The sequence below is a fragment of the Homo sapiens genome, chromosome 19 (assembly GCF_000001405.40).
Source record: "Homo sapiens chromosome 19, GRCh38.p14 Primary Assembly".
Classification (NCBI taxonomy): Eukaryota; Metazoa; Chordata; class Mammalia; order Primates; family Hominidae; genus Homo; species Homo sapiens.
In genome coordinates this window covers 12,610,920-12,636,475 of record NC_000019.10, presented here as the reverse complement: position 1 = coordinate 12,636,475, position 25,556 = coordinate 12,610,920, and the positions used below count along the sequence as shown (strand labels likewise).

At 45.2% G+C, this 25,556-nt stretch overlaps 1 protein-coding gene and 1 long non-coding RNA gene across 3 annotated transcripts in view, besides 4 other annotated features; one reads left to right on the top strand and one right to left on the bottom strand.

Annotated features, from left to right (window-relative positions):
• LOC105372279 (uncharacterized) overlaps positions 1–3,337 on the top strand; it is a 10,006-nt gene extending 6,669 nt beyond the window's left edge. For both annotated transcript variants that reach the window (XR_007067142.1, XR_001753869.3), the window contains one exon: positions 1,988–3,337. This is a non-coding gene — a long non-coding RNA (uncharacterized LOC105372279). The remainder of the gene's footprint in view (positions 1–1,987) is intronic.
• ZNF791 (zinc finger protein 791) lies at positions 2,642–25,556 on the bottom strand. Its single transcript, NM_153358.3, has 4 exons — positions 25,394–25,556; positions 12,650–12,776; positions 11,766–11,826; positions 2,642–8,755 (listed from the first exon to the last, which is right to left on the bottom strand). The coding sequence occupies exons 1-4, from the start codon at positions 25,394–25,396 to the stop codon at positions 7,216–7,218; spliced, it is 1,731 nt and encodes a 576-aa protein (NP_699189.2). The 5' UTR covers positions 25,397–25,556; the 3' UTR covers positions 2,642–7,215.
• Positions 22,510–22,669: a silencer, noted in NCBI's record as "silent region_10154". NCBI's record gives its function as "represses an Ori minimal core promoter by ATAC-STARR-seq in GM12878 lymphoblastoid cells {active_cell/tissue: GM12878}" and the evidence as "EXISTENCE:reporter gene assay evidence [ECO:0000049][PMID:35858748]".
• Positions 22,645–23,145: an enhancer, noted in NCBI's record as "H3K4me1 hESC enhancer chr19:12724145-12724645 (GRCh37/hg19 assembly coordinates)". NCBI's record gives its function as "activates a minimal SCP1, AML or CMV promoter by ChIP-STARR-seq in naive H9 embryonic stem cells {active_cell/tissue: H9 hESC(naive)}" and the evidence as "EXISTENCE:reporter gene assay evidence [ECO:0000049][PMID:30033119]".
• Positions 23,590–23,659: an enhancer, noted in NCBI's record as "active region_14060". NCBI's record gives its function as "activates an Ori minimal core promoter by ATAC-STARR-seq in GM12878 lymphoblastoid cells {active_cell/tissue: GM12878}" and the evidence as "EXISTENCE:reporter gene assay evidence [ECO:0000049][PMID:35858748]".
• Positions 25,385–25,444: an enhancer, noted in NCBI's record as "active region_14059". NCBI's record gives its function as "activates an Ori minimal core promoter by ATAC-STARR-seq in GM12878 lymphoblastoid cells {active_cell/tissue: GM12878}" and the evidence as "EXISTENCE:reporter gene assay evidence [ECO:0000049][PMID:35858748]".

Below are 25,556 nucleotides of genomic sequence, written 5' to 3'. Positions count from 1 at the left end.
CTGTAATCCCAGCACTTTGGGAGGCTGAGGCAGGTGGATCACCTGAGGTCAGGAATTTGAGACCAGCCTGGCCAACATGGTGAAATCCCGTCTCTACTAAAAATATAAAAATTAGCCGGGCGCGGTGGCGGGCGCCTGTAATCCCAGCCACTCGGGAGGCTGAGGCAGGAGAATCGCTTGAACCCGGGGGGCGGAGGTTGCAGTGAGCCGGTATCGCACCACTGCACTTCAGCCTGGGCGACAGAGTGAGACTCCGTCTCAAAAAAAAAAAAAAAAAAAAAAAAAGGAAAGAAAGAAAGAAAATACATTACAGGGTTCCACCAGGCAGCACACCCAGAGAGGAGCTAACTGCAAGGAGACAAAGGCTTGGTGGGGATTTTAGAGAATGGTGCTTTGGCCGGGTGCAGTGGCTCACGCCTGTAATCTCAGCACTTTGGGAGGCCGAGGCGGGCGGATCACGAGGTCAGGAGATCGGGACCATCCTGACTAACACGGTGAAACCCCATCTCTACTAAAAATATAAAAACAAAATTAGCCAGGCATGGTGGCGGGTGCCTATAGTCCCAGCTACTCAGGAGGCTGAGGTGGGAGAATGGCGTGAACCCAGGAGGCGGAGCTTGCAGTGAGCCAATATCGCGCCACTGCACTCCAGCCTGGGTGGCAGAGCAAGACTCCTTCTCAAAAAAAAAAAAAAAAAAAAAAAGGACTCATAAGTTCTGCCCTAGATCAAAGCAACCTTAATGTGGTACAAATTATAGGCTATGACACACATAGCATTCTTGCCTGTTTTGGAAGGTGGCTGACATGAACTGTGTCACCCAGGTCTGAGTGCAGTGGCATGATCATGGCTCACTGCAGGCTCGAACTCTTGGGCTCAAGCCATCCTCCCACCTCAGCCTCTGGAGTAGCTGGAATCACAGGTGTGCCCCACCACACCCAGCTAATTTTTTACTTTTGTAGAGATGGGGTCTCAGTTCTTTTTTTTTTTCCTTTTTTCTCCTTCCCTTCCTTCCTTCCTTCTCTCATATCTCTGCTTTTCTTTCTTTTGCTTTCTTTCTCTTTCCTTTCTTTTTCTTTCTTTCTCTCTTTTTCTTTTCTTTCTCTCTCTGTCTTTTCTTTTTTCAACACGACTGAGCCTCACTGTCGCCCAGGTTGCTGTGCAGTGGTGTAATCACAGCTCACTGCCACGTGGAACTCCTGGGCACAAACCATCCTCCCACCTCAGCCTCCTAAAGTGTTGAGATGACAGGCATGAGGCACCCAGTACGGCCTCATTCAAATTTTCTAAGTCCGCTTATGGAAGCATGCACCTGCAGTCCCAACTACTTGGGAGGCTGAGGCAGGAGGATCACTCCCCAGAAGTCAAGGTGACAGTGAACTATGATCGCACCGCTGCAATCTAGCCTGGGTGATAGAGCAAGACCTCATCTCAAAAAAAAAAAAAAAGTTTGACAGGTGGTGGAACACACTAGAACTTCAAAACTTTGAGACTCTATAATTCTGATTTACATGAGTTTGGGAAAGACCCTGTGCTCTCTCTGCCTCTGTTTTTTCATGTGTAAGATGGGAGGAATCCCAGCACTTTGGGAGGCTGAGGTGGGTGGATCACCTGAGGCTAGGAGTTCCAGACCAGCCTGACCAACATGGTGAAACCCTATCTCTACCAAAAATACAAAAATTAGCTGGGCATGTTGGCACATGCCTGTAATCCCAGCTACTCGGGAGGCTGAGGCAGGAGAATTGCTTGAGCCTCGGAGGCAGAGGTTTCAGTGAGCTGAGATCGCGCCATTGCACTCCAGCCTAGGCGACAGAGTGAGACTCTGTCTCAAATAAATAAATAAATAAATAAGTCTATGAAACATTTATTTCTGGAATTTTCCACTAAGTATTTTTGGACTGTGTTTGACCATGAGTGACTAAAACCACAGAAAGCAAAACTTTGGATCAGAATTGACTACTGTATTACCATAATTAATTCTGAATACAGGTGTGACCGTGGTGATTGCTGGCAATAGGGCACTGAAAATACCACTGTTTTGAAGAGAATTTTGTTTTATGACAAAATGTAAGTATAAGAATAAAAAACATCTAAGGGAAAAATACCAGAACATTTATGCACATGCTAATATTGAGTCAGAATGTATCTTGACAAAATGACAAAGTTGATCTGAATATTCATAACTGTAATGGGATATTTTAATATAGCCTTTCAGGAAACGGGGAAGACAATTATTTGTTTTTGAACTAATAGAGATGGGGTCTTACTATGTTGCCCAGGCTGGTCTCCAACTTCAGGCCTCAAGCAATCCTGCCTCAGCCTCCCAAATTGTTGGGATTACAGCCATGAGCCACTGCACCCAGATGATGATAATATTTGATAGTATACATGTTGTTTGGAAACAGTTAACAAAATATTTCTAAGAAACATCTAAGAAGCTTTTGCTTCAAATAAATAAAAAATGCATTATTTTAGTTGCATACAACCAAACATAAATGAAAATAAACCGATGGAGAATATTCAGGAATAGTTGGAAACACCCACAATTTGTCTGATATGAGGAAGGTGATTATTCTCAAATGGAAGGATGGGGGAGAGTAGTCACTGTATAATGCAGTAAGAGAACAAACTCCCATATAGTTGTTTTTTTTTTTTTTTACTGTTTTACTGTAGCTGTCATGGTGGAATCAGGAATACATAGTCCCTAGTGGCATTAACAGAACAAGAACCATACAAATTAAAGCTCATAGAAACACAAAGGGAAGACAGAACCTCAGAGAACAATGCCAACCATGACAGTCTGAAATAGATGCTTGGGCCACACATGAAGGCTAGAAGGAAAATCCAAACTGTACGTGGATCTTTGATGCGGAGCTTGTGGAGACAACTGTGGAAACCAACACATCTCTTTGAGAATGGAAGTCAAGCAGCTCAGGGTGTTTTCAGGATACTTTTGATTGGCAGAGAAAATAACCAGGAAAATGAGCAGGAAGCAGGCTGTCTCCCTGTATGGTGGGGTTCCAATACCTGACTAATGTCTTCTTCACTTCTGCCTGGCAAATCTCATGCAAGTGAGGCTATAAGTGAATTTCAACATGGATCTATAAAGGGAACAGATTCTAGGAAATTTACCTGTGTCGACAGGTAGCAGGAGGGCCACGTCCAGCTCTAGATTTTATTGTCCTATCACAGGTGTCCTTCCTGAATTCAAACTCTACTATTCAAATCCCAGACAGAATTATAAAAAAAAGGCGAAAATAATAATTCGCATAAGAATATATGATAAACTTCACATACTTACCAACTTATGCCAGATGTTTAATAAAAAGGAAAATGGAATAAGGCTCTTCTAGCTGAAATTCATTTTATTTATTTATTTATTTGAGATGGAGTCTCGTTCTGCTGCCCAGGCTGGATTGCAGTGGCACGATCTCGGCTCACTGCAAGCTCCGCCTCCCGGGTTCACACCATTCTCCTGCCTCAGACTCCTGAGTAGCTGGGACTACAGACGCCCGCCACCATGCCCAGCTAATTTTTTGTATTTATAGTAGAGACGGGGTTTCACTGTATTAGCCAGGATGGTCTCAATCTCCTGACTTCGTGATCCGCCCACCTCGGCCTCCCAAAGTGCTGGGATTACAGGTGTGAGCCACTGCGCCCGGCAAGAAATTTATTATATTTTAATTTAATTTTTTTGATATGGAGTCTCGTTCTGTTGTCCAGGCTGGAGTGCAGTGGTGTGATCTTGGCTCACTGCAACCTCTGACTTCCAGGTTCAAGCATTTCTCCTGCCTCAGCCTCCCAAGTAGCTGAGATTACAGGTGCCCTCCAACATGCCCAGCTAATTTTTGTATTTTTAGTAGAGATGGGATTTCACCATGTTGGCCAGGTTGGTCTCGAACTCCTGACCTCAAGTGATCTGCTTGCCTTGGTTTCCCAAAGTGCTGGAATTACAAAGGAGTGAGCCACCGTGTCTGGCCAAGAAATTTAAAAAGCAGTTTTTCGGAAAAGGTGAAATAAATATATAATGGGTAATATATGCACCACCTTCCACATGAGGCCAGTAGGAAAAATCCTAGTTACAGTGTGTCAGTATTCAACAATCTCTTTATTCAGAGAACAACTGAAAAACTATACACAAATTAAAACTAATTGTATATTAAAAATACACTTCTACTAACACTGGTCTTTAAAAGAAAAAAAAAATACACTTCAGGCCGGGTGCGGTGGCTCAAGCTTGTAATCCCAGCACTTTGGGAGGCTGAGGCGGTCGAATCACGAGGTCAGGAGATTGAGACCATCCTGGCTTAACACGGTGAAACCCCATCTCTACTAAAAATACAAAAAAAATTAGCTGGGCATGGTGGCGGGCGCCTGCAGTCCCAGCTACTGGGGAGGCTGAGGCAGGAGAATGGCGTGGACCCGGGAGGCGGAGCTTGCAGTGAGCCGAGATCACACCGCTGAACTCCAGCCTGGGCAACAGAGCAAGACTCCGTCTCGAAAAAAAAAAAATACACTTCAGTTTACTCATGAATCAAGACATCAAGAGAAAGAGAAAAGTTTTACTAACTGATTTAATGAGAAAACACAACCTTTTAAACTTTTGACCACTGCTTAAAGAGTACTTACAGAATTATCTCACTTCCAAGACTTCTTGGAAAAGTAGTTAAGTTACAATTCATAGTCCAGAGATGTACTTGAAGAATGAGCCAGTGATAAAAAATTTTTAACTTTTTTTTGGTGTGTGGGATGGAGTCTTGCTCTGTTGCCCAGGCTGGAGTGTAGTGGCACAATCTCAGCTCACTGCAGCCTCCACCTCCCAGGTTCAAATGATTCTCCTGCTTCAGCCTCCCAAGTAGCTGGAATTACAGGTGCATGCCACCACGCTCAGGTAATTTTTGTATTTTTAGTAGAGATGGGGTTTCACCGTCTTGGCCAGGCTGGTCTCGAACTCCTGACCTCAGGTGATCTGCCTGCCTTGGCCTCCCAAAGTGCTGGGATTACAGGCATGAGCCACCATGCCTTGCCTTAACTTTTATATCGTGTGTGATGAATTTATATCATGGTGTGAATTTTCTGGAGCATTTTACAGGCAGAGATTGCTTAATCATGGGTATATGTTCTGAGAAACGTGTTGTAGGTGATTTCCTCATGGTACAAACATCACAAAGTGAACTTACACAAATCTAGATGGTATAGCTACAACACATCTAGACTATATGGTACAGTCTATTGCTACTAGGCTATAAACCATACAACATGTTGTTGTACTGAACACTGTAGGAAATTGTAACAAAATGTTAAGTATTTATGAGTCTAAACACAGAAAATACACAGAGTAAACATGCAGTATAAAAGATAAAAAAGGATGCACCTGCATAGGACACTCCATGAACATAGCTTGCAGGACTAGAAGTTGCTCTGGGTGAGTCAGTTGAGTGGTGAGTGAATGCGAAGGCCCAGGATGTTACTGTACACTAATGGAGAATTTATAAACACTGTACACTTGGACTACACTACATTCATAAAAACATTTTTTCCTCAATAATGAATAAACCTTAACTTACTGTACATTATTTTCTTTATAAACTTATTTTTAAAAACTTTGTAATAATTTAGCTTAAAACACATTGTACAGCTGTACAAAAATATTTTATGTCCATATTCTATAAGCTTTTTCTATTAAATTTTTTTAAACTATTTTTGTTAAAGACTAACTAAGACACAAACACACATTAGTGTAGGACTACACGGGGTGAGGATCATCAATATCATTGTCTTCTGCCTCCATGTTTTGTCCCGCCAGAATACGTTCAGGGGCAGTCCTGCACATGGAGCCGTCATCGCCTATCATAACAAAGTTTTTCCGGGAATATCTCCTTAAGGACCTGCCTGAGACTGTCTTACTGTTAAAAAAACACAGGAATACATTCTAAAACAGGATTGTAAATATATAAACCAGTAACTTAGCCATTTATTATCAAGTATATATTGCACATCTGTGCTGTAATTTTTTTTTTTTCGAGACGGAGTCTCGCTCTGTCACCCAGGCTGGAGTGTAGTGGTAGATCTCAGCTCACTGCAATCTCCACCTCCCGGGTTCAAGCGATTCTCCTGCTTTGGCCTCCCAAGTAGCTGGGACTACAGGCACACCAGAACGCCCAGCTAATTTTCGTATTTCTAATGGAGACAGGGTTTCATCATGTTGACCAGGCTGGTCTTGAACTCCTGACCTCAACTGATTCTCCCACCTCAGCCTCCCAAAGTGCTGGGATTACAGGTATGAGCCACTGTGCCCAGCCAATTTTTTTTTTTTTTTTTTGATACAGTCTCACTGTCACCCATGCTGGACTGCCATCACGTGATCTTGGTTCACTGTAGCCTTGAACTCCTGGGCTCAGGCAATCCTCCTGCCTCAGCCTCCCATGTAGATGGGACTACAGGGTGTGCTACCACACTTAGAAAATGTTTTTATTTTTTGTAGAGACAGGGTCTCACTAGGTTGACCAGAGTAGTCCTGGCATCAAGCAATCCTACTGCCTTAGTCTCCCAGTGTTGGGATCACAGGTGTGACCATGCCCAGCTGTGTTGTACTTTTTTTTTTTTTTTTTTTTTGAGACAGAGTCTCGCTCTGTTGGCCGGATCTCAGCTCACTGTCAGCTCGGCCTCCTGGGTTTATGCCATTCTCCTGCCTCAGCCTCCCAAGTAGCTGGGACTACAGGCGCCCACCACCACGCCCGGCTAATTGTTTGTATTTTTAGTAGAGATGGGGTTTTACCGTGTTAGCCAGGATGGTCTTGATCTCCTGGCCTCGTGATCCGCCCGCCTTGGCCTCCCAAAGTGCTGGGATTACAGGCGTGAGCCACCGTCCCCGGCCGCTGTCTTGTACTTTTATACAACTGAAAGTGCAGCACGTTTACACCAGCACCATAAACACTTAAATAATGTGCTGCACTATGGTGTTACTACTGCTACTAAATTGCGGTTGATAGAAATGTTTTAGGTGTTATATAATCTTATGGGGCTACCAACCTATATGGTCCATTGCTGACTGAAACATGATTATGTGGTACCTGACTATACATGAATCATCTTGTATCTCGCTTTCTATATTACTTACATTGACAGGATTTCTCTCTTCAGTGGGAATTTTCACAACTTTGAAAGCATCTGTTAGAATTGAAAACTTTCTCCTATTTCTCACATTTATAGAGTTTCTATCGATTGTGCATTCTCATATGTTTTTTTAAGGATGTGGACACACTGAAGGCTTTTCCACATTGCTTACATTCAAGAGGTTTCTCATAATTGTGAATTCTTGTATGTCTTTGAAAGGAACTGTGAAGACTAAAGGCCTTCCCACATTCTTTACATTTATAGGGTTTCTCTCCAGTATGCATTCTCATGTGTCCTTGAAAGCTTGTGGGATAAATAAAGGCCTTCCCGCATTCCTTACATTCATAAGGTTTCTCCCCAGTGTGAGTTCTTTTATGTATCCGAATGTAACTAGAACAACTAAAGGCTTTTCCACATTGTTTACATTCATAGGGTTTCTCTCCAGTGTGAGTTCTTTCATGTGTTCGTAACGCACTAGGAAAAATGAACACCTTCCCACAGTCCCTACATTTATAAGGTCCGTCTCCAGTGTGGGTGATCATGTGTCTTCGAAAGTTCTCAAGAGAAATGAAGGTTTTTGCACATTCCTTACACTCATAGGGTTTTTCTCCAGTGTGATTTCTCTTGTGGATTTTCAAATCTAGAGGATAATTGAAAGTTTTCCCACATTTTTTACATTCGTAGGGTTTCTCTCCAGTGTGAGTCCTTTCATGTATTCGAAAGTAACTGATTCTACTAAAGGCTTTCCCACATTCTTTACACTTATAGGGTTTCTCTCCAGTATGCACTCTCACGTGTACTCGAAAGGCTGGGCGTGCACTGAAAGATTTCCCACATTCTTTACATTTATAGGGCTTCTCTCCAGTATGAATTCTTTCATGAATTTGAATGGAGGTGGAACATCTGAAGGCTTTACCACATTGTTTACATTTATAGGGTTTCTCTCCAGTGTGAATTCTTTCATGTACTCGTAAAAAACTGGGAAAAATGAATGCCTTTCCACATTCTTTGCATTTATAAGGTCTATCTCCGTTGTGTGTTATCATGTGTGTTAGAACACTTGTGTGGGAAATGAAGGCTTTCCCACATTCCTTACATGCATAGGGTTTCTCTCCAGTGTGAGTTCTTTCGTGTACTCGAATAGAACTGGAACAACTGAAGGCTTTCCCACATTGTTTACATTCATAGGGCTTTTCTCCAGTGTGAATCCTTTCATGAACTCGAAGCGAACTGGAACAACTAAGAGCTTTTCCACATTGCTTACATTCATAGGGTTTTTCTCCAATGTGAGTCCGCTCATGTCTTTGAAAGGGCTGGTGATATATGAAGGTTTTTCCACATTGTTTACATTTATAGGGTTTTTCTCCAGTGTGACTCCTTTCATGTCTTTGAAAGGATTTGAGATAACTAAAGGCTTTCTCACACTCCTTACATTTATATGGCTTCTCAAATAGCTCGTATCCAGTGTGAGACCTCATGTGTCTAGTAAGGGATGAGAGACGCATGAAGGCTTTTCCACAGATAGTACACTCATATGGTTTTACTCCGGCAGTCTTCTTCGTCACACTGAGATTGGGACTGAAGTTTTCTGCACATTGACTACCTTCTTTACCTTCACAGAGTCTCTCTCCCGTATGGCTTCTGTAAAAAATTAGAAGCACGGTAATACTGGTTGTGTATTAATGATTTTATATGTATTATCGGGTAGTAGAACTAAAGTTCTTTTTTCTTTTTTGAGACGGAGTCTTGTTCTTGTTCCCCAGGCTGGAGTGCAATGGTGCGATCTCAGCTCACTGCAACCTCCACCTCCCAGCTTCAAGCAATTCTCCTACCTCGGCCTCCCAAGTAGCTGGGATTACAGGCATGCGCCACCACGCCCAGCTAATTTTGTATTTTTAGTAAAGCCGTGGTTTCACCATGCTGGTCAGGCTGGTCTTGAACTCCTGACCTCAAGTGATCTGCCCGCCTTGGCCTCCCAAAGTGCTGGGATTACAGGCGTGAGCCACCGCACCCGGCAGCAGAACTAAATTTTTATCATTTTCAGGGAAATAGTTTTCTGCCCCGTCTGACTTGTTTAAAAACGAATATACTCAATGTTCTGCAAGAGGGCTTGTGTCACTGATAGCTATTATCAAAACAGTAATATTGAGGTATGGGTTTTTTTTTTTTTGGTTTCATTTTGAGACAGAGTCTCACTCTGTCACCCGCACTGGAGTACAGTGATGCAATCATGGCTCACTGCAGCCTTGACCTCCCGGGCTCAATCAATCCTCCCACCTCAGCCTCCCATGTAGCTGGGACTACAGGCATGCACCACCACAACTGACTGAATTTTCTGTTTCTTGTAGAGACAGGGTCTCGTCTTGTTGCCCAGGCTGGTTTCGAACTCCTGAGCTCAAATGATCTGCTCACCTTGGCTTCCGGAAATTATATGTGAGGCTTTAAAGTACTGTTTCTGGGCGGGCACAGTGGCTCACGCCTGTAATCCCAGCACTTTGGGAGGCCGAGACGGGCAGATCATGAGGTCAGGAGATCAAGACCACCCTGGCTAACAGGGTGAAACCCCGTCTCTACTAAAAATACAAAAAAATTAGCCGGGCGTGGTGGTGGGCGCCTGTAGTCCCAGCTACTCGGGAGGCTGAGGCAGGAGAATGGCGTGAACCTGGGAGGCGGAGCTTGCAGTGAGCTGAGATGGCACCACTGCACTCCAGCCTGGGTGACAGAGCAAGACTTCGTCTCAAAAATAAAAATAAAAATAAAATAAAATACTGTTTCCACACCTTGGCATGGTGGCTCATGCCTGTAGTCCTAGCACTTTGGGAGGCCGAGGTGGGTGGATCAATTGGGGTCAGGAGTTTGAGACCAGCCTGGCCAACATGGTGAAACCCCATCTCTACTAAAAAATACAAAATTGGCTGGGCATGGTGGCTCACCCCTGTAATCCCAGCACTTTGGGAGGCCGAGGCGGGCAGATCACGAGGTCAGGAGATCGAGACCATCCAGGCCAACATAGTGAAACCCCATCTCTACTAAAAAATACAAAAATTGGCTGGGCATGGTGGCTCACGCCTGTAATCCCAGCACTTTGGGAGGCCGAGGTGGGCAGATCACGAGGTCAGGAGATCGTGACCATCCTGGCCAACATAGTGAAACCCTATCTCTACTAAAAACACAAAAATTAGCCGGGCATGGTGATGCATGCCTGTAATCCCAGCTACCTGGGAGGCGGAGGCAGAAGAATCCCTTGAACCAGGGAGTGGGAGGTTGCAGTGAGCCGAGATTGCGCCACAGCACTCTAGCCTGGTGACAGAGCGAGACTCCGTCTCAAAAAAAACAAAACAAAACAAAAATTAACCCAGTATAGTAGTGCGCGCTTATAATCCCAGCTACTTGGGAGGCTGAGGCAGAAGAATTGCTTGAACCCAGGGGTTAGAGGTTGCAGTGAGCCAAGATCATACCACTCCACTCCAGCCTGGGTGACAGAGCGAGACTCTGTTTCACAAAACAAACAAACAAACAAAACTGTTCCCAAGTACAATATTTTTCTTTCTTCTTCTTCTTCTTTTTTTTTTTTTTTGAGATGGAGTCTCACTCTGTCGCCCAGGCTGGAGTGTAGTGGTGCGATCTGGGCTCACTGCAACCTCTGCCTCCCAGGTTCAAGTGATTCTCCTGCCTCAGCCTCCTGAGTAGCTGGGATGACAGGTGTGTGCCACCACACCCGGCTAATTTTTGTATTTTTAGTAGAGACAGGTTTTCACTGTGTTGGCCAGACTGGTCTTGATCTCCTGACCTCTGGTGATCCGCCCACCTCACCTTCCCAAAGTGCTGGGATTATAAGCGTGAGGCACAGTGCCCGGCCCAAGTATAATATTTTTCAGCCAGTGGACATCTGTGTCACTTGAGAAAACATTTTTGGTAAACATTTTCTGATAATAAATAAATTTGGGGCCCAGTGGCTCGTGCCTGTAATCCCAGCACTTTGGAAGGCTGAGGCGGGCAGATCACCTGAGGTCAGGAGTTTGAGACCAGCCTTGCCAACATGGAGAAACCCTGTCTCTACTAAAAATACAAAAATTAGCCAGGTGTGGTGGCACGTCCCTGTAATCCCAGCTACTTGGGAGGCTGAGGCAGGAAAATCACTTGATCCCGGGAGGTGGAGGTTGCAGTGAGCAAAGACCATGCCACTGCACTCCAGCCTGAGTGACAGAGCAAAACCTCATCTCAAGAAAAAATAAATAAAACAAATAAATAAATAAATTTGGAGCTAAGCTTGCTTCTTGTTTTAAAAGTGTCACAACTTCTTTTTTTTTTTGAGACAGAGTCTCGCTCTGTTGCCCAGGCTGGAGTGCAGTGGCGCGATCTCGGCTCGCTGCAACCTCTGCCTCCTGGATTCAAGTAATTCTCTGCCTCAGCCTCCAGAGTAGCTGGGATTACAGGCGCCCACCACCACAACTGGCTAACTTTTTTTGTATTTTTAGTAGAGACGGGGTTTCATCATGTTGGCCAGGCTGGTCTTGAACTCCTGACCTCATGATCCACCCACCTCAGCCTCTCAAAGTGCTGAGATTACAGGTGTGAGCCACCGTGCCCGGCCATAACATTTTTAAGATTCTTTCAAGGAACACTGTTACTTCTTGTGAGTGCAACTCACCTTAGATTTCGTCCTTGGTTTTTGTGTTGATCTTCAACATTCGGGTCTTCCCATTTTTCCCCTAAAATGTAGATCAAGAATAATCATGATAAATTATTAAAAATTATACAAATATTATTAGATTATAGGTTCACAATGAGCTGTAACCATGCCTGGTTTATTTACAGAAGTGTTTCCTTTTCAGATTCCAAATCTCGGAACAGTGATTATGAGCAAGAAATGGCAGTTCTCTAACTGACGATATGAAAAAATGATGTCACTGGGGTGCGGTGGCTCATGCCTGTAATCCCCACACTTTGGGAGGCTGAGGCGGGTGGATCACCTGAGGTCAGGAGTTCGAGACCAGCCTGGCCAACATGATAAAACCCCGTCTCTACTAAAAATACAAAAATTAGCCGGGCATGGTGGTGGGCACCTGTAATCCCAGCTACTCGGGAGGCTGAGGCAGGAGAATTGCTTGAACCCAGGAGGCGGAGGTTACAGTGAGCCAAGATCCCGCCACTGCACTCCACCCTGGGGAACAGGACGAGACTCAAAAAAAAAAAAAAAAAAGAAGGCCAGGCACAGTGGCTCATGCCTGTAATCCCAGCACTTTGGGAGGCTGAAGCGGGCAGATTACCTGTGGTCAGGAGTTCAAGACCAGCCTGACCAACATGGTGAAATCCCGTCTCTACTAAAAAGAAAAAAATTAGCCAGGCATGGTGGCACGTGCCTGTAATCCCAGCTACTCGGGAGGCTGAGGTAGGAGAATTGCTTGAACCTGGGAGGCTGAGGTTGTGGTGAGCTGAGATTGTGCCATTGCTCTCCAGCCTGGACAATAGTGAAACTCTGTCCCCCCCCAAAAAAAAAAAAAAAGAAAAAAGAAAAAATGATGTCATCCTTACCTATAGATGCCAGGTTCTTGAATGTTTCCTGCATCACATCTCTGTAGAGTTTCTTCTGTGAAGGAGCCAGCAGAGCCCACTCCTCCTGGCTGAAGCTCACAGACACATCCTCAAAAGCCACTGAGTCCTGAAACATCCAATATAAGTAGAGAATAGGTGAGATTGACAAGGATGAGAGGTATCCTCAATTCATAAGAAATTCACACACGATTTTGTGGTCTCCAAACATTTAGTGCATGACTCAATTGTTAGAAATGTAACAGCACATTGAACACATAAACTTATAGCTACATCTTCACTGTGGTCACTGTAAGTCCTATTGCTCTCTAATGGTAGTATCTAGTTCAACTTAGAAAAATGAAAGAAATCCTACACAAATGAGACAAATTTTAGGATCAATTTTTTTTTCTTCCTTTTTGAGACATAGATGGTCTCGCTCTGCTACCTAGGCTGGAGTGCAGTGGTACAATCACAGTTCATTGGAGCCTAGTCCTCCCGGCTCAAGCAATCCTCCAACCTCAGCCTCCTGAGTAGCTGGGACTACAGGAACACACCACTACACCTAGGTAAGTATTTTGTGTATATTTTTTGTAGAGATGGGGTTTTGCCATGTTGCCCAGGCTGGTCTCAAACTCCTCAGCTCAAGCGATTCACTAGCCTTGGCCTCTCAAATTGCTGAGATTACAGGCAAGATCTTCAATTCTTTATGAGATAAATTCTTATTTCTTGTTTGTTTGTTTGTTGTTTTCTAAGAGACAGGGTCTTGCTCTGTCACCTAGGCTCAAGTGCAGCAATCCTAACTCACTGTAGCCTCAAATCCCTGGGCCCCCAAGACATCCTCCTGCCTCAGCTTCACGAGTAGTTAGGACTACAGATGTGCAACACCACTCCCAGATAAATGGGTTTTTTTTCTTTCTTTTTTTTTTTTTTTTTGAGACGGAGTCTCACTCTGTAACCCAGGCAGGAGTGCAGTGGTGCGATCTCGGCTCACTGCAACCTCCGCCCCTCCAGGTTTAAGCAATTCTCTGCCTCAGCCTCCGAAGTAGCTGGGATTATAGGCGCGTGCCACCACGCCCAGCTAATTTTTTGTATTTTTAGTAGAGATGGGGTTTCACCATCTTGGCTAGGCTGGTCTTGAACTCCCGACCTCGTGATCCACCCTCCTCGGCCACCCAAAGTGCTGGGATTACAGGCGTGAGCCACTGCCTCCGGCTGGGGTTTTGTTATATTGTCCAGGTTGACCTTTAACTCTCGGCCCCAAGTGATCCTCCTGCCCCGGCCTCCCAAAGTGTTGTGATAACAGGTATGAATAACCATACCCAGCCCACAGCCTAATTTCTTATTACCCAAATCATTCAGCATTCCTTAAGATATGGGATTAAATGAGGTGGAGGTTTTTTTTTTTTTTTTTTTTTGTTTGAGACAGTCTTTTTTTTATTATTTTTTTTATTTATTATTTTTTTTAATTTATTTTTTTATTGATAATTCTTGGGTGTTTCTCACAGAGGGGGATTTGACAGGGTCATGGGACAATAGTGGAGGGAAGGTCAGCAGATAAACAAGTGAACAAAGGTCTCTGGTTTTCCTAGGCAGAGGACCCTGCGGCCTTCCGCAGTGTTTGTGTCCCTGATTACTTGAGATTAGGGAGTGGTGATGACTCTTAACGAGCATGCTGCCTTCAAGCATCTGTTTAACAAAGCACATCTTGCACCGCCCTTAATCCATTTAACTCTGAGTGGACACAGCACATGTTTCAGAGAGCACAGGGTTGGGGGTAAGGTCACAGATCAACAGGATCCCAAGGCAGAGGAATTTTTCTTAGTGCAGAACAAAATGAAAAGTCTCCCATGTCTACTTTCTACACAGACACGGCAACCATCCGATTTCTCAATCTTTTCCCCACTTTTCCCGCCTTTCTATTCCACAAAGCCGCCATTGTCATCCTGGCCCGTTCTCAATGAGCTGTTAGGCACACCTCCCAGACGGGGTGGTGGCCGGGCAGAGGCGCCCCTCACCTCCCGGACGGGGCGGCTGGCCGGGCGGGGGGGCTGACCCCCCCCACCTCCCTCCCGGACGGGGCGGCTGGCCGGGCAGGGGGGCTGACCCCCCACCGAGGTGGAGGTTTTAATAAGTAAATACACATTGAGAATCTTCTATCCCCTTTTGTTATACATGAGAGGCCAGGAGGCTTGTGGAAATCCAACTTTTAAGAAGGTCTAGCTGCCTATATCGTCCTGAAGTATTTGAGGCCATCAGAAGCACTCAGATTCTGCTGACTGAATGGAAATACTCTTTTAGAGACGTATTAATTTCAACTTGTTTCCGATATATATATATCCCTATGTGTTGGCATTACAGGCATGAGCGACCACGCCCGGCTGTGTGTGTAATATCTATCATAGACCCAGTTTTTCCTTTTACTTTCTGTCCCATTTCGTGAGACTAGGAAGTTACTGGGAAGACAGCTCAGGCACAAGGAAGGGGCCCTCACAACTTAGACTTTCACAAAATCGTTATACCCATGAGCCTCAGAACTGCTTCCAACCAATTTTTAGCACAAATACATATACACATTGAGATAAAATGTCAGAAGAGCACTTTCTGGAAGATCCATAATCATGTCATCTGGGCTTTGCTGACCTTGAAGAATAGATTGACAGTATCAATTTTCAGGGGACTTCACTGATGTCCACAATGGTCTGATGGTGAATTTGCCCATGATTATAAAATTAACAGGTAATTTCATACCTCCAAAAGAACATAAAATCTGGGTCAGGATGGCTCATGCCTGTAATCCCAGCACTGTGGGAGGCCGAGGCAGGTGGATCACCTCAGGTCAGGAGTTCGAGACCACCCTGGCCAACATGGAGAAACCCTGCCTCTACTAAAAATACAAAAATTAGTTGGGCATGGTGGTGCATGCATGTAATCTCAGCTACTCGGGAGGCAGAGGCAGGAGAATCGCTTGAACCCGGGAGGCAGAGGTTGCAGTGAGCCAAGATCGCACCACTGCAGTCCAGCCTGGGCAACAGAGCGAGACTCTATCTCAAAAAAAAAAAAAAAAAAAAAAAAGAACATAAATCCCCTTTCTCCAGTTTCAGGAGGAAGTGATCCCAGACAGACACTCTAGGGGCTGTTGTCCCAGGTTCTCTCATTTCCATGCACTCATGTGCACCATACGTTAAAAGATCCACACAGTTAGAAGGGGTTTTCTTAAGTAATTAGGACTATGGTCTGAGCAGGAAGAAATTTGGCTCCAGGGAGCTCTCCCTCGTGACAAGTCCATCTGCATGCCTGGGTGCTCTCTGTAAGGTTTATTTACATTTACATTTAATAGAAAATAAACATTTTGGCCAGGCGTGATGGCTCATGCCTATAATCCCAGCACTTTGGGAGGCTGAGGTGGGCAGATCGTTTGAGCCCAGGAGTTCGAGACCAGCCTGGGCAACATGGTGAAACCCTGTCTCTATAAAATATACAAAACTTGGCCAGGCGTGGTGGTGCACGCCTGTGGTCTCAGCTACTTGGGAGGCTGAGGTGGGAGGATTGCTTGAGCCTGCAAAGTCAAGGCTGCAGTGAGCCATAACTATACCACTGCACTCCAGCCAAAAATAAATAAAGACAGGCCAGGTGCGGTGGCTCACACCTGTAATCCCAGCACTTTGGGAGGCCAAGGCAGGTGGATCACGAGGTCAGAAGATCGAGACCATCCTGGCTCTACTAAAAATACAAAAAATTAGCTGGGTGCCGTGGCGGGCGCCTGTAGTCCCAGCTACTCGGGAGGCTGAGGCAGGAGAATGGCGGGAACCCGGGAGGCGGAGCTTGCAGTGAGCCGAGATCGCGCCACTGCACTCCAACCTGGGCGACAGAGCGAGACTCCGTCTCAAAAAAATAAATAAATAAAATAAAAATAAATAAATAAATAAAGATTTCATATATAGCCTTTTACTAAATAATAAAAAGAAAAAAAAACAGAAAAAAAAGGTTCATCTCCTTGCTAATGAGGATATAAATGTCAAATAGTTCCCACTTCAAACTGAGTAGGAAGACAAAACTAGTCGATTAAGATAACATTAGTGGCCGGGCGCGGTGGCTCACGCCTGTAATCCCAGCACTTGGGGAGGCCGAGGCAGGTAGATCATGAGGTCAGGAGATCGAGAGCATCCTGGCTAACACAGTGAAACCCCGTCTCTACTAAAAATACAAAAAATTAGCCAGGAGAAGTGGCGGGCGCCTGTAGTCCCAGCTAGTCGAGAGGCTGAGGCAGGAGAATGGCGTGAACACGGGAGGCGGAGCTTGCAGTGAGCCCAGATCGCGCCACTGCACTCCAGCCTGGGAGACAAATCGAGACTCCGTCTCAAAAAAAAAAAAAAAAAAAAAAAGATAACATTAGTGTTGATGACTACAGAGAACAATCATGTACAAACGGAGGATCAACTGATACACTCCACCACTTTTTTTAAGTTTGTAAATTTAAACTTGACCAAGATCCAGTAATTTTTTTCCAACTACCAGAGAATTTATTGTGCGTTTGCACTTGCAGACTGAAACAAAAATAGTAGGAGCATTATTTTCCACAAAGCAAACAAAAACAAAACCGTGAAAAAGTCTAAACACCACAACCATTGGAACGGATAGCCTGCAGCTTCAGATACTAGCATATGAGAAATATACTGAGAGGTGGCCAGGCGTGGTGGCTCACGCCTGTAATCCCTAGCACTTTGGGAGGCCTAGGTGGGTGGATCACGAGGTCGAGACTGAGACCATCCTGACCAACATGGTGAAACTCCGTCGCTACTAAAAATACAAAAATTAGCTGGGCATGGTGGCTCATGCCTGTAGTCCCAGCTACTCGGGAGGCTGAAGCAGGAGAATCGCTTGAACCCAGGAGGCGGAGGTTGCAGTGAGCTGAGATCACACCACTGCACTCCAGCCTGGCAACAGAGTGAGACTCCATCTCAAAAAAATAAATAAATACACACACACACACACACACACACACACACACACACACACACTGAGAGGTAAACAAATCACCACAAAATTATTTATTTATTTATTTTGAGGTGGAGTTTTGCTCTTGTTCCCCAGGGTGGAGTGCAGTGGCATGATCTCGGCTCACTGCAGCCTCCGCCTCCCGGGTTCAAGCAATTCTCCTGTCTCAGCCTCCTGAGTAGCTGGGATTACAGGCACGCACCACCATACCCAGCTAATTTTTTGTATTTTAGTAGAGACAGGGTTTCACCATGTTGGCCAGGCTGGTCTTGAACTCCTAGCCTCAGGCGCGAGCCACCACACTCGGCCTTTATTTTATTTTTGAGACGGGGTCTCATTGTTGCCCAGGCTAGAGTACAGTGGTGCAGTCACGGCTCACAGCAGCCTCGACTTCCCGGGCTCAAGCAATCTTCCCGCCTCAGACTCCTGAGTAGCTGGGACTACAGGTGTGCATCACCATGCCTGGCTAATTTTTTCATTTTTTGTAAAGATGGGTCTCACTATGTTGCCTAGGCTCCAAAAAACCCTTTAAGTGTAATTCCATTAATACTCATTAAATGTTCAAAGGAGGCAAAAATTTAAAAATACAATACTTGTGAAAAAGAATAGATGGTTGGTGGACGTGGTGGCTCACGCCTGTAATCCCAGCACCTTGCAAAGCCAAGGTGGGTGGATCACCTGATGTCAGGAGTTGGAGACCAGCCTAGCCAACATGGTGAAACTCCATCTCTACTAAAAATACAAAAATTAGCCGGGCATGATGGTGTGCACCTGTAATCCCAGCTACCTGTGAAGCTGAGGCAGGAGAATCGCTTGAACCCAGTGGATGGAGGTTGCAGTGAGCTGAGTTCTTGCCTCTGCACTCCAGCCTGGGCGACAAGGACGAAACTCTGTCTCAAAAAAAAAAAAAAAAAAAAAGCAAAATTTAGCCCTGTATGTGGCACGCACCTGTAGTTCCAGCTACTCAGAAGGCTGAGGTGGTGGTTGTAGTAGGCTGAGATCATGCCACTGCATTCCAGCCTGGTGACAGGGTAATACCCTGTCTCCAAAAAAAAAAAAAAAAAAAAAAAAGAGTTCCAGCAGGTAGAAAATCAGAAAGGACAAAGTTTAGTTGAAAGGCAACAACTGGGTTTAATTAAAATCCATGAATGCTTCATCCAACAGAACAACACACATTCTTCTCAAGTTCATGTGGAACATTCACCAAGATAAACCATGTTGTGGACAAAAACACACCTTAACAATTTTCAAAGAATATACATTATATAAAATATGCTCTCAGACCACCATGGTATTAATCTAGAAATCAGTAACAGAAGAATAGTTAGAAAACCATCAAATATTTGGAAATAAAACCCAACACAGTTCTAAACATGAATCAAAAAAATCTCAAGAAAAATTAAATTTGGGCCGGGCGCAGTGACTCATGCCTGTAATCCCAGCACTCTGGGGGGCCAAGGTGGGCGGATCACGAGGTCAGGAGTTCGAGACCAGCCTGGCCAACATGGTGAAACCCCATCTCTACTAAAAATAAAAAAATTAGACAGGCATGGTGGCACGTGCCTGTAATCCCAGCTACTTGAGAGGTTGAGGCAGGAGAATCGCTTGAACCCGGGAGGCGGAGGATGCAGTGAGCCAAGACTGCACCACTGCACTCCAGCCTGAGTGACACAGCAAGACTCCGTCTCAAAAAAAAAAAAAAAAGAAGAAAAAAGAAAAATTAAATGTGAATTAAATGAAAATAGAACTTATCAAAATTTGTGGAATGCAACAAAAATAGTACCTAAGTGAAATTTATACTATTAAACTCTCATACACCCACAAAAAATTTATACATGGATCTTACACCTTTCACAAAAATTAAGCCCAAATCGATCATAGATGTAAATGTAACATGCAAAACTATCCACTTGGCTTTGGTGATGAATTTTTAGATAAACCACTAAAAGCACAATCTATGAAAGGAAAAAATAAGTTTCACTTCATTAAAATGAAAAACTCCTACTCTGTGAAAGAAAGTGTTAAAAGAATAAAAATAAAAGGCACAGACAGATTTTTGCAAATCTTCACAAAAGCACTTATCTGATTAAGGACTAGTATCTAAAATATCCAAAGAATTCTTTTTGTTTTTCTTTTTTTTTGAGACAGTCTTGCTCTGTTGCCCAGGGTGGAGTGCAGTGGTGCAATCTCGGCTCACTGCAACCTCTGCCTCCTAGGCTCAAGCGATTCTCATGCCTCAGCCTCCCAAATAGCTGGGACTACAGGGGTGTGCCACCCACATTGGGCTAATTTTTTTTCTCCGATCCCTTGGCAGCTCCAGCCCCAGCACCACTTCTCAGCTCTGCTCCCCAGCAGCCTGGGTGGCCCCACATGAGCTACCATGCCTAGCGTCCTTTTTGTTTTTTTGAGATAGGATCCATTATGTTGCCCATGCTGGGCTTATAATCCTGGGTGCAGGCAATCCTCCCACTTTAGCCTCTGGAGTAGCTGGGATGACAAGCGTGTACCACCATGCCTGCCTCCAATTCGAACTCTTAAATCTCAACAAAAATAAGACAAATGAACCAGTGAAAAATGAGCAAAAGACCTGAACACACCCCTCACCAATGAAAGATATACAGATGGCAAATACACATATGAAGAGATGCTCAATTATATGTCACTAAGGAGCTGCAAATAAAACTGAAGAGATATCACTTTACACTTATTAGAACGTACAAAGTTCAAAATGCTGAGAACAGCAATGGATAGCAAAGATGTAGACAACAAGAATTCTCATTCCTTGCCAATGGAAATGGAAAATGGTATGTCTACTTTGGAAGATAGGCAGTTTCTAACAAAACAAAACGTCCTCTTACCAGTGGACCATGCAATCACATTCCTTGCTATTTACTCACATGAGTTGAAAAATACTGTTCATACAAAAACCTGCCCATGAATATTTACAGGAGGTTTCTTCATAACTGCCAAATTTAAGACTTAACCAAGACATCATGCAACAGGTTTATGGATAAACAATCTGTGGTACAATCTTTTTTTTTTTTTTTTTTTTGAGACGGAGTCTTGCTCTTGTTGCCCAGGCTGGAGTGCAATGGCACTATCTCGGCTCACTGCAACCTCCACCTTCCAGGTTCAAGCAATTCTCCTGCCTCAGCCTCCCAGGTAGCTGAGATTACAGGTGTGCGCCACCACACCCAGCTAATTTTTGTATTTTTAGTAGAGACGGGGTTTTGTCATGTTGGCCAGGCTGGTCTCAAACTCCTGACCTTGTGATCCGCCCGCCTCGGCCTCCCAAAGAGCTGGGATTACAGGCATGAGCCATCGTGCCCGGCCGGTACAATCTTATGATGAAATATTGTTCAACGATAAGAGAAATCAGGTATCAAGCCATGAAGACACAGAAGGACCTTAAAAGTACATTGCTCAGTGAAGGAAGCCAATCTGTGAAGGCTATATCCTGAATAACTCCACGTGTATTACATTCTGGAAAATATAAAACCTTAAGACAGCAAAAGTATCTTTGGATGTCAAGAAATTGTGGGAGGCCATGCGCTGTGGGAGGCCAGGGCGGGAGAAGTGCTCGAGCCCAGGAGTTCCAGACCAGCCTGGGCAATATGGCGAAACCCCATCTCTACAGAAAATACGAAAATTAGATGGGCATTGTGGTGCATGCATGCAGTCCCAGCTACTCAGAGGAGGCAGGAGGATCACTTGAGCCCAGGAGGTGGAGGCTGCAGTGAGCAATGATCACATCACTGCACTCCAGCCTGGGCGACGGAGTGGGACCCTGTCTCAAAAAAAAAAAAAAAAAAAAAAAAAGTTGAACATAGGAGACTAAGGTGGGAGGACGGCCTGAGGCCAGGAGTTCCAGACCAGCTTGGGCAACAGAGTGAGACGCTGTATCAAAAAAAAAAAAAAAAAAAAAAAAAAAAAAAAAAAGGCCGGACGCAGTGGCTCACACCTGTAATCCCAGCCCTCTGGGAGGCCAAGGTGGGCAGATCACCTAGGTGGGGAGCTCAAGACCAGACTGACAAACATGGAGAAACCCCATCTCTACTAAAAATACAAAATTAGCTGGGCATGGTGGCGCACGCCTGTAATCCCAGCTACCTGGGAGGCTGAGGCAGAAGAATCGCTTGAACCTGGGAAGCGGAGGTTGCGGTGAGCCGAGATTGTGCCATTGCACTCCAGCCTGGGCAACAAGAGCAAAACTCCGTTTCCAAAAAAAAAAAAAAAAAGTTAAACATATTCCCCAGCTTGGACCCAGACTCTCCCAGCTTGAAAAACGTAACCCCGGCCTGGCGTGGTGGCTCACACCTGTAATCTCAGCACTTTGTGAGGCCAAGGCAGGCAGATCACCTGAGGTCAGGAATTTGAGACCAGCCTGGTCAACACGGTGAAACCCCGTCTCTACTAAAAATACAAAATAAATTGGCCGGGCCTGGTGGCACACACCTGTAATCCTAGCTACTCTGGAGGCTGAGGCAGGAGAATGGCTTGAACCCAGGAGGCGGAGGTTGCAGTGAGCCGAGATCGTGCCACTGCACTCCAGCCTGGGCAACAGAGTGAGACTCGGTCTCAAAAAAAATAAAAATAAAGAAAAATGTAACCCCTAGAGTGGGTCAGTACCTGGTAATGGAGGATAGAAGCACCTGATCAGCAAGGAACTATGGGAGCTCCACACCTCCTTCTCTCCTATGGCAGCAAAGAAACATTAGCTTCCCTAGGTTTCCGTTTTCCCAAGTGAGGAAACTCTCAACCAGATTGAGATTGAGGTTCTGATGCAAATGAGCTCCCCAATTCATTAACCCTGTCTCTAGGAAACATAAGTCCTGACCTTCACAGACACTGTCAATATGCACCAATTACACCCAGTACACCTATATTACGGAAGTGAAACTCAAAACGTAATGTCTAAAAACACACCCAAGGAAACCACAATTAAAACCTCAGACATCCTCCCCTCTTCCCCTAACAGCATCTGCCTGTGCATCCTCAGCTTCCAAGTGCTCTGCAGTTTCTTTCAGTACAAGAGGATCCTTCCATGGTGGGCATATGAGTAGCTGGCAGACCTGTAGGGGAGGCTCCCCAGGAAGAACCAATTGGGCCTTCAATGATCTTTCTTTGCAGGCTCAAAGGTGGACTTAGCTTGGAATCACTTATCTCAGGCCTCTGCTCCCCAGTCACAAGGCTCTGGAACACTACTAGTAATTTTAAATGAGACAATTTAATTAAATTTTTTTTTTGTTTTGAGATGGAGTCTCACCCTGTCACCCACGCTGGAGTGCAGTGGCGCGATCTCGGCTCACTGCAAGCTCCGCCTCCCAGGTCCACGCCATTCTCCTGCCTCAGCCTCCAGAGTAGCTGGGACTACAGGCGCCCGCCTCCACGCCCAGCTAATTTTTTGTATTTTTAGTAGAGACGGGGTTTCACAATGTTAGCCAGGATGGTCTCGAGCTCCTGACCTCGTGATCCGCCCTCCTTGGCCTCCCAAAGTGCTGGGATTACAGGCATGAGCCACCGTGCCGGGCCCTTAAATTCTTAAGGATTGTTCCTTAAACATCCAGCAGAAGGCCTGGCACGATGGCTCACACCTATAATCCCAGCACTTTGGGAGGCTGAGGCGGGTGGATCACCTGCGGTCCGGAGTTCGAGACCGGACTGGCCAACATGGTGAAACCCCGCCTCTACTCAAAATACAAAAAAATTAGCCGGGCATAGTGGTGTGTGCCTGTAATCCCAGGTACTTGGGAGGCTAAGGCAGGAGAATGGCTGTCAATATGCACCAATTACACTCAGTGTACCTACCTTACAGATGTGAAACTCAAATGTAATGTCTAAAAACACACCCAAGGAAACCACAATTAAAACCTCAGACATCCTCCCCTCTTCCCCTAACAGCATCTGCCTGTGGCTCCTCAGCTTCCAAGTGCGGAGGTTGCAGTAAGCCAAAATTGTGCCACTGCACTCCAGCCTGGGCAAAAGAGCAAGACTTGGTCTTTAAAAAAAAAAAAAAAAAAAAAAATCCAGCAGAATTACTTAAACACAGTGTTTACGTATAAAGGAAGCAAAAGGCCTGGCGTGGTGGCTCATGCCTGTAATCCCAGCATTTTGGGAGGCCAAGGCGGGAGGATCATGAGGTCAGGAGATCAGGAGATTGAGACCATCCTGGGAAACATAGTGAAACACTCTCTACTAAAAAAAAAAAAAAAAAATACAAAAATTAGCTGGGCGTGGTAGCTTGTGCCTGTAATCCCAGCTACTTGGGAGGTTGAGGCAGGAGAATCGCTTGAACCCGAGAGGCAGAGGTTGCAGTGAGCTGAGATCGTGTCACTGCACTCCAGCCTGGCGAGAAAGCTAGACTCCGTCTCAAAAAAAAAAGTAAATAAATAATAAATAAATAAATAAATAAATAAATAAAGGAAGGAAGCAAGAAAATTTTAAGCCATTTAACAAGAAAACCCACTATTGCTTTCAGAAAATGAGAATGTTGGGCCGGTAATAGTAGCTCATGCCTGGAATCCTAGCACTTTGGGATGCTGAGGGTGGAGGATCGCTTGAGCCCAGGAGTTCAAGATCAGCCTGAGCAACACAGCCAGACCCCATCTGTTAAAAAAAAAAAAAAGAAAATAATAATGTCAGTTAATTATTTCCATGGCAATAAATAGTTTACAAAAGTATTACTTCTATCTGAATGCTTCTAGATGTTGCAAGTTTAAGTCCTGGAATACCATCTGAAACATCAAACTAAAAGAACAGACCTGAGAAACATATTCCATGTGCTCAGGGAAAGAACAAAGAATTTTTAACAAATGTAATATTGGGATGTTTTTTGTTTTCTGAGATTCATTTCTTTTTTGCCCTTTGGAAATATTTTGTACTGTCTCTCAAGTTCTTCTGATAACATATATTTTATATTTATTGGAAAAATGACATTCGAGTGAATAAATCTTTTCAAGGTCATAAACCCAAGGCGGGACAGTGCCAATCTGAAACTGTGCTGAAAAGATAGATTACCCAGGAAAGTTTACAAAAAGGAACCTCAACGCAAAGGAGTTCCCATAGGATGTCTGTGCCCTGGAAAGGTACCAGGATGAGGGCCACAGCATTTTATGCAGATTAGTTCCAAGTGAATAATTTTTCTGATTTTTCTCTGATGTAAAATATCCACAAACAAGAAATAAATCGTTTAAAAGAGGCATCTATTGGAAAAAAGATTATTAAAATACTGCGTGTGTTTGAAATGCACCACACAGGACAAAGAGTTGGTGACGATGTTTTCCACTGGCGAGCGGAAGTAGGCGTTTGGGAATTCGGGGAGGGATCCGGAAATCTAGGGATTAATGGCCCGCCGTGGGAGGAGCTAGGCTGGGGGGACAGGGTAGTGGATTTGAGACTCTGCTTCCAACATCTTTGGAAGACTCAGGGGGAAACAGCCTTTGGGAAGAAAGAAGGGACTGGGAACCCCAGACTGTAGCTCCTCCCACACAAACCAAACACACAAGGCGGGATTCTCCCCAGGACCCTCCCGTGGTCCCTGCACGATCTGGGAAAGACGCGGGGCTGCGGGCGCGGAGTTGTCCAGAGAGGGCTCCGGGGCTGGGACCGCAGTCGCCGCGCAGGGACGGGACAGGACGCTTGGAGTTCCAGCTGCCAGCCCAGCCCCACACTGCGGCCGGAGGTGACCGTGGGGAGGCCCGGGTCCCGCGATCACGGCCGGTTCCAACTAGTCCGGCCCTGCACACTCACCATTTTCCGGCCTCGCGGGTGTCCCGGTGTTGTCCCTAAGGTTCACGGAGCCAGCGCAGGGTACAGCGCATCCGATGCAGGGGTACAGCAACCTGACGCGTCAAGGGGCCAGGAGACCCCAAGCTAAGCACAACCCGATCGCACAGTGACGTAGCACGCATTT